The sequence below is a fragment of the Homo sapiens genome, chromosome 17 (assembly GCF_000001405.40).
Source record: "Homo sapiens chromosome 17, GRCh38.p14 Primary Assembly".
NCBI classification, from domain to species: Eukaryota; Metazoa; Chordata; class Mammalia; order Primates; family Hominidae; genus Homo; species Homo sapiens.
In genome coordinates, this window is record NC_000017.11 from 76,177,526 (window position 1) to 76,191,659 (window position 14,134).

Consider the following 14,134-nt stretch of genomic DNA (forward strand, 5'->3'; position numbering starts at 1 on the left):
AAGGGGGAGAGGCGAGGGGGTGCTGAGGGCAGCTTGGTGCTGGCCTTCAGGGAGGACGTGAAGGCTGGGGGCCTGGCTGCCAGTCCCGCCCACTGGAGTGGGAACTTGTGTTGCCTTTTCTAGGCCTGCCCATGGATGCCCAGGGACCAGTCTACCTGCACTTCCTCCCCTCTGAGGCCCATAAAAGGCCCAGGCTCAGCCAGAACAGAGCAGAGGTTGGGACCACCAGCTGCAGAGAGGAGCAACCTACTCCAGTGCCTCCTCTCTGCTGATAGCTGCAGAGATGTCCATAAGACCAGCTGCAGAGAGGAGCTACGCACTCCAGGGCCTCCTCTCTGCTGAGAGCTGCAGAGAAGACAGGATGACCTTCCTGCGGAAAAGAGCTTCCCACTCCAGGGTCTCTATGCTAGGACACTTGTCAGGACACCCTGGCTGCGGAAAGAGCTACCCACTGCGGGTATCCTCTGAGCTGTTCCAAGGCTCAATAAGGCTCCTCTTCGTCTTGCTCACCCTATGTTTGTCTGTGTATCTCATTCTTCCTTGTTGCAGGACAAGAATTTTGGACCCATGGAATGGTGGGACTAAAAGAGCTGTAACACAAACAGGACTGAAACATGCTCCTTGCTTGTCATGTTGCAGGCAAAGAGGAGAGAAGAGCTGTGGCCCGTCGGGGAGCCCAGACCTGGGAGCTGCCCAAGCCAGGGCTATGACTTCCTCTTTGTGGCCCTGTAGTTCCTGGCATCTCCAAGCTTCCGGGTGCCACCACATTCCCTGGTGCCAACCGGGAGAGCTGCTTGCAGTGCACCTGGTCCAGCCACAGCCTCGCAGACAGCTGGCACCTATACTGGCACCTGGGGCTGCCAGCCCCACAGCGGCAGCTGGCGTGTCTGACTGCACAGTGGCCGGACCCCACTCTCGCTCACACACCCCTTGCTGCTCCATGCCTGACTTGCAGTCTCCCTTGGAGGCGTGGGATATAGGCTGGTAGTGTGAGCTGAGTGCAGCCTGTCAGGCCAAGTGGGTGGAAGAAGCCCAATGTGCCTGAGCCGAACCTGTGCAAGGCACCACTGGCCACAGGTTTCCAGCCAGAAAAGTGACACCCCAAAGATCACATAATACTATGTGCCAGGCACTATGCTGAGCTCTTTATTTATATTATCTTATTTAATCTTTGGAGGAATCCTGTGAAATAGTCATGGTTGTTCCCATTTTTGCAGGTAAGAAAACAGAGGTTGCAAAGAGGTTGAAAAACTTCTCTAAAGTCCCCCAAGTTTTAGGGAGCAGAGGTTATTTTTCTCTCTTTTTTTTTTCCAGTAACTAACATGTCTTAAAGGGAGCAGAGTTGAGGTTTGAACACGTTCTACCTTTATCTTTCCCCAAGACGCTCTGGATGCAGCTTTTTAATCTAGAGATGAGATTTCCAAGGATTAAAGTGCTGGTTATTAAAAGATCTGAAGACACAAATTTATTTATTTTCTCATTCCTTTCTAAAGTCAAGACATCAGATAAATGTTTGTGTTTGTCCACACTATCTCCTCAATACATGCACCATTACTAAGTTATATTTAAGACAAAAGGTGTATCCTGGCCGGGCACAGTAGCTCACGCTTGTAATTCCAGCATTTTGGGAGGCTGAGGCAGAAAGATCGCTTGAGCTTAGGAGTTTTGAGACCAGCCTGGGCAACATGGCGAGACTTTGTCCCCACAAAAAATGTAGAACTTAGTCAGCATGGTGGCACACACCTGTAGTCCCAGCTACTCAGAAGGCTGACGCAAGAGGATCACTTGAGCCCAGGAGATTGAGGCTGCAGTGAGCTATGATAGCATCACTGCACTCCAGCTTGGGGGAGAGAGTGAGACCATCCCAAAAAGGAAAAAAAAAGAGGCCAAGCGTGGTGGTTCATGTCTCTAATCCCAGCACTTTGGGAGGTCGAGGTGGGCAGATCACTTGAGGTCAGGAGCTTTGAGACCGGCCTGGCCAACATAGCGAAACCCCATCTGTACTAAAAATACAAAAATTAGCTGGGTGTGGTGGCACAGGCCTGTAGTCCCAGCTACTAGGGAGGCTGAGGCAGAAGAATTGTTTGAACCCAGGAGGTGGAGGTTGCAGTGAGCTGAGCTCATGCCACTGCACTCCAGCCTGGGCAACAAGCGAGACTCTGTCTCAAAAACAAAAAATAAGTATCTTATTTCAACCTAAAACCAGAGATCTCACTCATATGCTAACAGGTAAGTATGAAAGGAAAGAAAACTAATGCCTTCTTGGGACCAAGAAAGATGAAGCTCAGAACAGATTCAGGGCCAAGCATTTTTCTGAAGTACTCATGCACCAGTCCACTGTACTTAGCATTAGCAATCGTTTTCTCAGTTCATATCCACAGAGTTTCTGTTTTCTTTTTTAGAGTCTGCAAAGGGTAATTTTCTCAGCCCTAGGTCTACTGAGTAAGGGAGTGCATGGTGACAAGGAAGACCAGATAAAGTCTTTCTGATGTAAGCATCCTGGCATATCCGGAAACAGGAAGAGCTTCCTTTTCTGTCTTGCACACAACATGCCCCAGGTCCACAGACAGAGGGAGACTGAGAAGCTTTCTGATCTCTTACCTCAAGCTCAGTATGGATTTATAGAATGGCTTCCTGTTTCTCAGGTATCATTCTGGAGTAAATAAACCCTTAACAGCCTTATGAAGGACAACTAAATGCAGCTTCTAGAATCCTATTTCACTTTTTATAATGAAAACAGGCCTCAGATCAAGACTCATGAACAAAGAATGAAATTTGGTCTGCTCAGGGATTTGGGGACCAAACATTAAGTGTGAGTACCTTTACGACAGAAAAGCAAGGCACAGATCCCCCTAATCTATTCATCTAACCAGAAAACTCTGCCAAAAGAAAGCCCCTTTCATGGGGTAAAACTTGGGTAACCTGCAATTACAGCTTGGCAAATCATGAAAAAAGAGAATGTAAGGAAATATTTAACTGAGTATCTACTATGTGCCAGGCATTATGCTAGGTACTTTAGATAGATTCTTTTTGTCCCCCATTTTACTTTACATATTTTTTATCTTTATTTTTAAATTTTCGTAGAGATGGGGTTTTACTATGTTGCCCAGGCTGGTCTCAAACTCTTGAGTTCAAGTGATCTTCTCGCCTCAGCTTCCCAAAGTGCGGGGATTAGAGGTGTAAGCCACCACACCTGGTCTTTTTATTTTTATCTTGGTAAAATACACATAACATGAAATTTACTATCTCAATCATATTCAAGTATACAGTTCAGCGGCATTAAGTAACATTCACATTCGCATTATCGTGCGGCCATCACCGCCATCCAGCTCTAGTTTAGGTATGCTCTTATTTCACATTCTCGAAAGGAACAACATGCCTGCCCCTCTCACCAGCCTGTAAGTTCCGTGTGTATGCTGGAGGACAGTCCAACATGCCGGAGAAATACAGTAGCCGACTGAAAAATGAAGAATGTCAGTTAAACAAACTGACATTCTACAGATAAAGAAACCGAGACTCAAAAGATTCACGTAATCATCCAGGGTCCCAGAGCTAATGAGCAGCAGAACCACAATTTGAACCCAGGTACATCTGACTCCAAAAGCCATACTCTATTGCACTGCTTCTACTGTAGGGCAAGTCTACAGGCTCTTCTAATCCTAGGAGTGTTCCAGGGACCTGAGCAGAGTTCGGGGAGTCTGAAAGTTATACCATCATGGCAAACAGTACTGAATTCTGTGAAGGTTCTGGAAGCTAGCCAAAAATCTCCAATGGCGCCCTATGCTTAGATGGCAGTATGTACAAAATCATACCACGCACCACACTCCTTTCTATCTTTAACAGGAGTATCTAAGGTCTTCTTAGAGAAGAGCTTTCTTGGAGCACAGTATGACAAAATCTTTGTCTATAAGATCTAACAGTACCTGCAGAAGATACAAATGTACACTGAGGGCAGGGTGATGTCAGAGAACACTGCCAGCAGCCACAGCCACAATGGATACGTCAGTCAGCGTTTACCTTCCACCCAAGATGCTCAAAGATGTGTTACTGCCAGATAGTTCTAAAATATGGCGACTTCTTCACTAAATTGTTTTCAAAAAATGGTCGGGTGCGGTGGCTCACATCTAATCCCAGCACTTTGGGAAGCCGAGACAGGCAGATCACCTGAGGTCCAGAGTTTGAGACCAGGCTGGCCAACATGGTGAAACCTCATCTCTACTAAAAATACAAAAATCAGCTGGGTGTGGTGGCGTGTGCCTGTACTCCCAGTTACTCAGAAGGCTGAGGCAGGAGAATCACTTGAACCCAGGAGGCAGAGGTTGCAGTGAGCTGAGATCACACCACTGCACTCCAGCCTGGGTGACCGAGTGAGACTCTGTCTCAAAAAAAAAAAAAAAAAAGAATAAATAAATAAATAATTTTCAAAAAACAAAGACATTTACCCATTCATTCAGCACTCTCACTATATCCTGAGTACTGAACTAGGCCTGAGGGACACAGTGAAGAGTCAAGCAAACCTCTCTTAGTTCCATCTGTAAAGGGGCGTCAAGCTTGCATCTGGTGCCCTGCATGCTTGGATACAACATCCTCCTGGGACTGGGCTGCTGTGTCTGTCCTGAAGTAAGCCTGAATCTGAGAATAACTTAAATCCCAAACATCTCAAACCCAGAATGGAAGTAGAGTTGGGCTCAGCCAGAAGACCTCTTTTGGTGGACCTCAGGCGTTTGCTGACGAAGGCTCTGTGTGTTACGTGAGCAACTCCTCTTTGGCTTTTGACCCTGGTGCTCATCAGCTTCCTTTTACCAGCACATCACATCGGCAAAGCGCCACCTGGTGACGAAAGATGAAATTGCCAGACCATGCCCAAATGCAGGCCAGAAGGGTGCACGTGCATTCACATACACATGGGCACACACGCATTTAGTCTGTGTGTGTGTGTGTGTGTGTGTGTGTGTGTATCAATCACATGTCCTAGATTTTTTTTTTTACCATTCTGATTTCAAATATTACACTACTCCTACGGTTGTACTATTTTTGCTGTAAAAAAATATGGTCACAGTACATGTGAAAGGACATCTTACTCTGTGTGTAAATTATTAGGCAATTCCCAGTAGTCTACAAAAAAACACAATAATCCATTCATCCCATCCATAAAAATAAAGTTAACTTCAACATAAATCTTTTTTTAAAGTATATACTTTGTTTTCATTTGCTATTAGATTCAGGCCTCGTCTCATATATATATATATATATATATATATATGAGAGATATATATATGAGAGAGATATATATCCTATATATCCTATATATGATATATAGGATATATAGGATATATATATCCTATATATCATAATAATATGAAAACTATATTATTACCATCAATTCTCAGGTAAAGAAAGTATTGATATTGTATACTTCTGTTGGTTACTTTTCGCTCTTGTTGCCCTGGCTGGAGTGCAATGGCACGATCTTGGCTCACTGCAACCTCCGCCTCCCGGGTTCAAGCGATTCTCCTGCCTCAGCCTTGCTTCCCGAGTAGCTGGGATTACAGGCGTCTGCCACCATGCCTGGCTAATTTTTTTGTATTTTTAGTAGAGATAGGGTTTCTCCATGTTGGTCAGGCTGGTCTCGAACTCCTGACCTCAGGCGATCCGCCCGCCTCAGCCTCCCAAAGTGCTGGGATTCCAGGTGTGAGCCACCACGCCCGGCCTCACGTGGGAATATTTTTGAAAACTGCAGATCCCAGGGCCCTGTCACTAGAATTCTGATTCAGCTAGTTTGGGGTAGGAACTAGGAATCTGTATTTTAATAAACATTCCAACCAATTCTGATGCAGGTAGGTTAGAGACCCCACTGAAAGAAAAAATGCTGGTCTTCTGCAGCTAATAATATTTAATTATATACCAAAATAAATTCACATAAAGTTTTTTTTTGTTTTGTTTTTTAGAGGTAGGGTCTTGCTATGTTTCCATGCTGGAATGCAGTGGCTATTCACTGTGACCATAGTGCACTACAGCCTTGAACTACTGGGCTCAAGTGATCCTCCTGCCTCAGCTTCCCGAGTAGCTGGGACTACAAGCAAGTCATCACAGCTGGCTAATTTCTATCATTTCTTCCACATTAAAAAACATTTATGGATATAGAATAATTATAGCTTTCTACATTTATTAGCTGGGATTCTACTGTAAGGAAGAGCTGTCCTTTATCATTCAATTATTCAATTATTTCTTCATTTGTTTAATTATAAATTATGTATTTATGTAATTTATTTTATATTAATTTTTTTACTTAAGTAAAAACAAAAAACCCAAAATACCAAAAATATGCTTCCAAAGACAGGAAACCATTTTAGACAATTTATAATTAAAATAGCAAAGTACAGGCTGGGAGCGGTGGCTCACACCTGTAATCCCAGCACTTTGGGAAGCTGAGGTGGGCGGGTTGGTTGAGGCCAGGAGTTTGAGACCAGCCTGGCCAGCATGGTGAAACCCCGTCTCTACTAAAAACACAAAAAATTAGCCAGGCACAGCGGCACGCGCCTGTAATCCTAGCTACTTGGGAGGCTGAGGCAAGATAATCACTTGAACCTGGGAGGCAGAGGTTTCAGTGAGCCAAGATAGTGCCACTGTACTCCAGCCTGGGCGACAGAGCAAGACTCCATCTAAAAAAAAAAAAAAAAAAGCAAAGTACACATTTTGTATATTGGGCAGACATTTAATATTTATGCCAGAGAATCAAATAATAATTACTATAGAAACCAACACCTGGGGTCATATCAAAAACTCATTCATGGTACTACATAATCTCTTTTTTTATAGGGTTTTGTGTTTAAATTCTATTTCATTTTTATTTGATGCCTGGTTATTTTCCCAGCTTTCTCTGCTTCCCTTCTCCTGAGATACATAACGTGTCCAAGGCTTACCAGTGGATATTTTTAGACTGGTGATGGATCAGTGTTGGGGAGAGCAGCTTCGTATTTGCTTGAATGCTGTGAAGTGAATACAAATTTGCCTATTTACCCAGATTCATCCCTGAGACAGACTGATGTGCCTGCTGTAGATCAGAACAACAATGATCTATATTAACTGCAGTAAACCTCTTTTCACTAATTTTTCAACCAATCCTCATGGGGAGCCAATCACCAGCTTAGAATGAATGGTAATCACAAAGCTGACAAGATAAAAGATATTCTTTGTACCCAAATCAAAGATATGAGGGAGATAGCAAGAGAGTGTCACAGATGACCTTGCACACAAAAATGCTTTGTCTTCAGATTTGGCTATCAAAGAAATCAATCCAAGAAAGCACTCCATTTATAGTCTTCGAACTCCTCTGCTAGGTCTCTTGGCAGGAAGTACACAAGACCAACGTCATGGCTATATGACCTCCCACCTAATGTTGACCTTTTCCAAAATATTTAATTAAGCAATTGCACAGTTAAGCAATTCTCTCTGTTCACCTTAACAGGTGATAAGGGTACGAAAAACCTACCACAGAGTAAAGAACACATCATAAAATGGCATAGATCTTGGTAATGACCATCACAGATCCATTCTATATCTCTCCTTATGTTTTAGGTCTTGACTCATTGTTTGAGAATACTGAGACTGGGCAACATGCTCAGTCCCACTCTGTCATTAAACACACCTACATGGCTACGTGAACTGCTTAGATGACAAATGAACCTACTTGACTTCCAGGCCCCCCCAGATAGGAAGCCTCCCTTCCCAGCAGGCTAAAACCTTCTACCCAATCATGCTGTGCTTCTAGAATAAAACTACCTTCCAGAAGACGAATTGCTTTTAGTTGCAAAAGATTTTGCCTAACACCAGCTAATTTTAAGTTGAGTTAAAAGGAGAAAAGCGTGCTCTTAATAAAGCAGACACAGTCATCTTTTCCCCTCCAGCGAGTTGGTAAATAATGACTAGTGGTCAGAGATTAGTCCTTTCTTTTTTTTTTTTGAGACGGAGTCTCGCTCTGTCGCCCAGGCTGGAGTGCAGTGGCGCGATCTCGGCTCACTGCAAGCTCCGCCTCCCGGGTTCACGCCATTCTCCTGCCTCAGCCTCCCGAGTAGCTGGGACTACAGGCACCCGCTACCACGCCCGGCTAATTTTTTGTATTTTCAGTAGAGACGGGGTTTCACCGTGTTAGCCAGGATGGTCTCGATCTCCTGACCTCGTGATCCGCCCGCCTCGGCCTCCCAAAGTGCTGGGATTACAGGCGTGAGCCACCGCGCCCGGCCGAGATTACTCCTTTCACACGAGCAACCCATCCTCACTACCTCACTTCCTGATTTCATTTGGTCAGGAGATTCATAAACCAGCTCACAAATTAGAATACACTTTTAAGCAGCAGGTTTTGAGATGCCTTGATACTGTATGTATGTGAAGAATATGCTTACAGAAGCAAGCACCAGTATCAGACTAAATAGGCATTTAAAAATATAAAACATATATATATATATTTCTTCCTAAGCAAGTATTTGAACGTTCTAATGCCAAGTATTAAGTTTCCCAGATATTTTAAAACAGAGGCATTTTTGATAGGCCAATTACTAAGGGCAAGAGGACCAAAATCTTCCCTACTCTCTATTTCAAAAATAAAAAATAAGAAACTGTAAACTGGTCTTCAAGCTGAAAAACTCCAAGCTGTCCTTTCATGTCCCATTAAAAAACATCGACTCTAAAACTATTTATGGGCCAGGTGCGGTGACTCATGCCTGTAATCCCAGCACTTTGGGAGGCTGAGGTGGGTGGATCACCTGAGGTCAGGAGTTTGAGACCAGCCTGGCCAACATGGTGAAACCCCGTCTCTACTAAAAATACAAAAAATTAGCTGGGCGTGGTGGCGGGTGCCTGTAATCCCAGCTACTCAGGAGGCTGAGGCAGGAGAAACACTTGAACTGAGGAGGCAGAGGTTGCAGTGAGCCGAGATCACACCACTGCACTCCAGCCTGAGCAACAAGAGTGAGACTCTGTCTCAAAACAAAAAACAAAACGAAACAAAAAAACCCCAAAAAAACTACTTATGTAAGATTCAAGATTAATTACAAGAGTTGTCAAGATTTCTCTCATATTCCTGGAAGGAAAATATGCTCTGAGGTCTACTAGGCTAGAAATCTCAGGTCTGGGCCGGGGGGGCAGTGGCTCACGCCTGTAATCCCAGCACTTTGGGAGGCCGAGGCGGGCAGATAACCTGAGGTCAGGAGTTTGAGACCAGCCTGGCCAAACTGGTGAAACCCCATCTCTATTACAAATACAAAAATTAGCCAGGCATGGTAGTGCACATTTGTAATCACAGCTACTTGGGAGGCTGAGGCAGGAGAATTGCCTGAACCCAGGAGGCAGAGGTTGCAGTGAGCTGAGATCGCACCACTGTACTCCAGCCTGGGTGACAGAATGAGACTCCGACTCAAAATAAATAAATAAATAAATAAATAAATAAATAAATAAATAAAATCTCAACTCTGGTTTGAGAAAAATAATAATAGTATGAAATATATCAATGGAAATAGTTAAGTTTATAAGCCAAACAAACATGGAATTCAAAGCCCTGGCAAGGTCTGGTTACTCTGGCTAGGCTATGTATTTGCAGATACAGCCCTGGGAAGAAAGTCACTATTCAATCAATAACTCTAATAGGATTTTCTTTTTTTCTTCTTCTTTTTTTTTTCTTAAGATGGAGTCTCGCTCTGTCACCCAGGCTGGAGTGCAGTGGTGCGATCTCGGCTCACCACAACCTCCGCCTCCCAGGTTCAAGCCATTCTCCTGCCTCAGTCTCCCGAGTAGCTGGGATTACAGGTGCATGACACCATGCCCAGCTAATTTTTTGTATTTTGAGTAGAGATGGGGGTTTCATCATGTTGGCCAGGCTGGTCTTGAACTCCTGACCTTGTGATCCACCCACCTCAGCCACCCAAAGTGCTGGGATTACAGGCATGAGCCACGGCGTCTGGCCAGGATTTTATTTTCTTTAGTTAATCCTGTGGTATAGAAGCCCTAGATAATTAGAACAAAATAGCATAAAATAAAAATCCATAGCATATACCTGATAGTTTTATTTTATTTATTTATTTATTTTTTTCTGAGACAGGTTCTCACTCTGTCGCCCAGGCTGGAGTGCAGTGTGGCAATCTCAGCTCACTGCAACCTCCACATCCGGGGTTCAAGCGACTCTCCTGCCTCAGCTTCTCGAGTAGCTGGGATTACAGGTGCTTGCCACCACATCCAGCTAATTTGTTTTGTAATTTTTAGTAGAGATAGGGTTTTACCATGTTGGTCAGGCTGCTCTTGAACTCCTGACCTCAAATGATCTGCCTGCCTTAGCCTTCCAAAATGCTGAGATTACAAGTGTGAGCCACCACGCCCAGCCCTGATAGTTCTATTTTCTGAGTTATTAATGTAAAGATGTGCGGAAACCCTAATGGAAAAATCTATTCTGCAGCTAGTTTAATAAGGTGGCACTTGTTCCGTTTTGCATTGCTAAGCTTCTAAGAGTCTTGAGAGCTCTGATTATTCTTCAGTCACCCCCCAATAGCAGTGGGCAGCCAAGATTCTGTAAACCAAGTGAACTACTTTCTTTGGCTTTTATGAAAGTCTAAACTCATTTAAAGACCGGATATAGTGAAATGCAGTGGCTAGAACTTTAGGTTCTAGATGGTGAACACCCATACTCTATCATGCTCCAACTCCAAGGTGACTTACGTTCTCTTGTACTGCATCCCACGGCCTCCTACCTGGGATCACTCCACTGCCCCATGTGGTCACCCATCACTTCTCAGCCCATCCTTGTAAATCTCCACTCCTTGAGCCACATCCTTCATCACCTCCAATTTTCCTTATTCTCAGCAACCTCTTCTCTGTGGTTCTTCCTCTTTTTACTGATTTTCTGCATTTCATTAAGACCCTGGGCTTCTGATCATCTTTCAGGGCTTGTCAGAGGTGATTACACTCCCTGAAGAATAAATAGGTGTCTTAGCATTAACCACAAGCTTTCTGAGACTAAAAATAGCCAAGTTCCAACTTTAAACAAGGTGCAAGCAAAGATGGTGCAATAGATGCAACAGATAATTCCCCCCAAAGCAATGCATGCTAGTATCTCCCAACAGTGTTAGTTTGGCTTCTAAGTTTATAATTCTCAGTCTGGTCATTAATACAAACATTCTCTTATGCTAGTTAATAGTCTGTAAAGAAAGCATGGCTCCATAATTAAGTGGGAAGTCAAAAGTTCAGCAAGAGGATTTAGTGACTGGCTTCTAACGAATACATCATGGAAAGGGGAAGATTTACAGTGGATAAACCTGTACCACCCGGACCATGTAAACAGGGCTGATATCAACAGCAATAAGTCATGTGATATTATGTACCTCTGATATGATGCAACTACATCTGTGGTTTTCTTTCCCAAAGTCTATAATCCTGGTCTTTTGATATTTCAAAAGAAAACATTAGAAAAACCCAAATCAAGGGAAGTTCTACAAAATACCTAGCCAAGTACATCTAAAAATTTTCAAGGTCATGAAGAACAAGGAAAAATTGAGAAACTAGCACACATTGGAGGAGATGAAGGAAACATGAGAACCAAAAGTATCCTGGACTAGATCCTAGAACTAAGAAAGGACAATAGAGGAAAAGCTGGTAAAATCCTAATAAAGTCTAGTTTTAAAAATAGTAATGTAACTGTGTTAATTTTCAGTCTGGATAAATGTGTTGCAGTTATGTAAGATGTTAACCTTAGGTGGAGCTGGATAAAGGCTATATGGCAACTCTGTTATCTTTTGTGATTCTTCTGTAAGAATAAATTATTAAAAAAATTAATTCAGCAAGAGAAATGCAGAGATGAAATGGAAGGAGCTCAGGATCTATGAGCAGAAGGCGTGGGTCTCAGCTCCTGTGCTGCTGGTTACGGTGACTTTAGACAAGCTGCTTTGCCCTACTAAGCCTCCATTTCCTTATCAGTGAAATGAGCTCCATAACAGCGACCTCAAAAGTTGTGAGAGTAGAAGTTGTATTAATCATGGTTTAGTCAGGAAAACAGGTACTACACAAGGTATTTTAATAGGCAGAATTAAATACAAGGAACTGGTTAAATGGATATCAGAGAACTAAAACACGAAAAGGGGGCACGGAGCTGACAGAGAGAAACTGCAGGAAACGGTTTCCATCCCCATGGCTGAGGAAACAAAAGGGAGAGGTTGGGTTCTCAGATCCTGGAAGCCCGGAGAAGGGACCCTCCGAAGCTGGGACTCAGACTTCTGAGGTGAGGGTACTGCCCAGCTGGTTCTGGGTTTGTTGGGAGGAGAACACAAACAAAAACAACTGAAGGCTGAAACAAACTGCAGCTGGTGGGATGAAAAGGCATTGCTGGGATGGTGGTCATAGGAACAGCCAGGCGCAAGAAGCAGTGGGTCCTTCTCCTCCAGCCCTGTAGACCTTCCAGCACCTCCCACTGGCAGCACATGGCCAAGTGTAGCAAGCAATGGAGAGAGCCGCAGAGTCCCAGCCCCAGTGTTCACAGGGTGGTGTGGGGCCAGGAAATAACAGTGGAATTGTGGAGACAAATAACTTTGTAAAGGGTAGATGTGACCCACTGATACTTATTACCCTTACTTCTGTTAAGTGCTCAGGCTAACTGCTTGCTCTCTCTTTTTTTTTTTTTTTTGAAATAGATTCTCACTGTCAACCAGGCTGGAGTGCAGTGGCACAATTTCGCCTCACTGCGACTTCCACCTCCCGGGTTCAAGTAATTCCCTTGCCTCAGCCTCCTGAATAGCTAGGTCCACAGGCACGTGCCACCATACCCAGCTAATTTTTATATTTTTAGTAGAGACGGAGTTTCGCCATGTTGGCCAGGCTGGCCTCAAACCCCTGGCCCCAAGTGATCTGCCTGCCTCAGCTTCCCAAAGTGCTGGGATTACAGGTGTGAGCCACTGTGCTTGGCCATTCTCTCTTTTAAAAATAGTTTACACTGGGCACAGTGTCCAGGGAAATCGCTTGAGTCCAGGGAAGTCAAAGCTGCAGTGAGCCATGATCATGCCACTGCACTCCAGCCTGGGTGACAGAGTGAGACCCCATCTCAAAAAAAAAAAAAAAGAATTAAAAAAATAGTTTACGGCCGGGCGTGATGGCTCACGCCTGTAATCCCAGCACTTTGGGAGGCCGAGACGGGTGGATCACGAGGTCAGGAGATCGAGACCACGATGAAACCCCGTCTCTACTAAAAACACAAAAAATTAGCCGGGCATGGTGGCAGGCGCCCTGTAGTCCCAGCTACTCCAGAGGCTGAGACAGAAGAATGGCACGAACCCGGGAGGCGGAGCTTGCAGTGAGCCGAGATCGTGCCACTGCACTCCAGCCTGGGCGACAGGGCGAGACTCTGTCTCAAAAAAAAAAAAAAGTTTACACGGCTGAATGCAGTGGCTCACACCTGTAGTCCCGGCACTTTGGGAGGCCAGGAGTTCAAGACCAGCCTGGGCAACATAGTGGGACTGTTTCTACAAAAAGAAAAAAAAAAAAGTTACGATATGGATTAGCAGAGGACATAAACCTCTTGTGTTACCAGCATTTAAGTTTTTAATAAGTAGAAAATATGGCTAAGGACTACATTCTATTCTATAATTATACCAACATTTACCCTAAAGTTCAGTGCTGCCTTCTATAGATAAAGTGGGCTGGGTGTGGTGGCTTATGCCTATAATCCCAGTACTTTGGGAAGCTGAGGCAGGAGGATCGCTGGAGCCCAGGAGTTCAAGATCGGTTAGGGCAACATAGTGAGACACCGTCTCTACAAAAAAATAAAAAATTAGGGCTGGGCGCGGTGGCTCACACCTGTAATCCCAACACTTTGGGAGGCTGAGGCGGGAGGATCATGAGGTCAGGAGTTTAAGACCAGCCTGGCCAAAACCCTGTCTCTACTAAAAATACAAAAATTAGCTGGGCGTGGTGGCAGGCACCTGTAATCCCAGTTACTCAGGAGGCTGAGGCAGAGAATTGCTTGAACCCGGAGGTGGAGGTTGCAGTGAGCTGAGATCACGCCACTGCACTCCAGCCTGGGCGACAGAGCAAGACTCCGCCTCAAAAAAAAAAAAAAAAAAAAAACATTAGCCAGGTGTAGTGGTATGTGCCTGTAGTCCCA

At 44.4% G+C, this 14,134-nt stretch overlaps 1 protein-coding gene across 8 annotated transcripts in view, besides 1 other annotated feature; it reads right to left on the minus strand.

Moving 5' to 3' along the window:
• Nucleotides 1–14,134, minus strand: part of RNF157 (ring finger protein 157) — a 98,020-nt gene that overhangs the window by 35,052 nt on the left and 48,834 nt on the right. The gene's annotated exons all lie outside the window — the stretch shown is intronic.
• Nucleotides 13,247–13,746: an enhancer, noted in NCBI's record as "H3K4me1 hESC enhancer chr17:74186853-74187352 (GRCh37/hg19 assembly coordinates)". NCBI's record gives its function as "activates a minimal SCP1, AML or CMV promoter by ChIP-STARR-seq in primed H9 embryonic stem cells {active_cell/tissue: H9 hESC(primed)}" and the evidence as "EXISTENCE:reporter gene assay evidence [ECO:0000049][PMID:30033119]".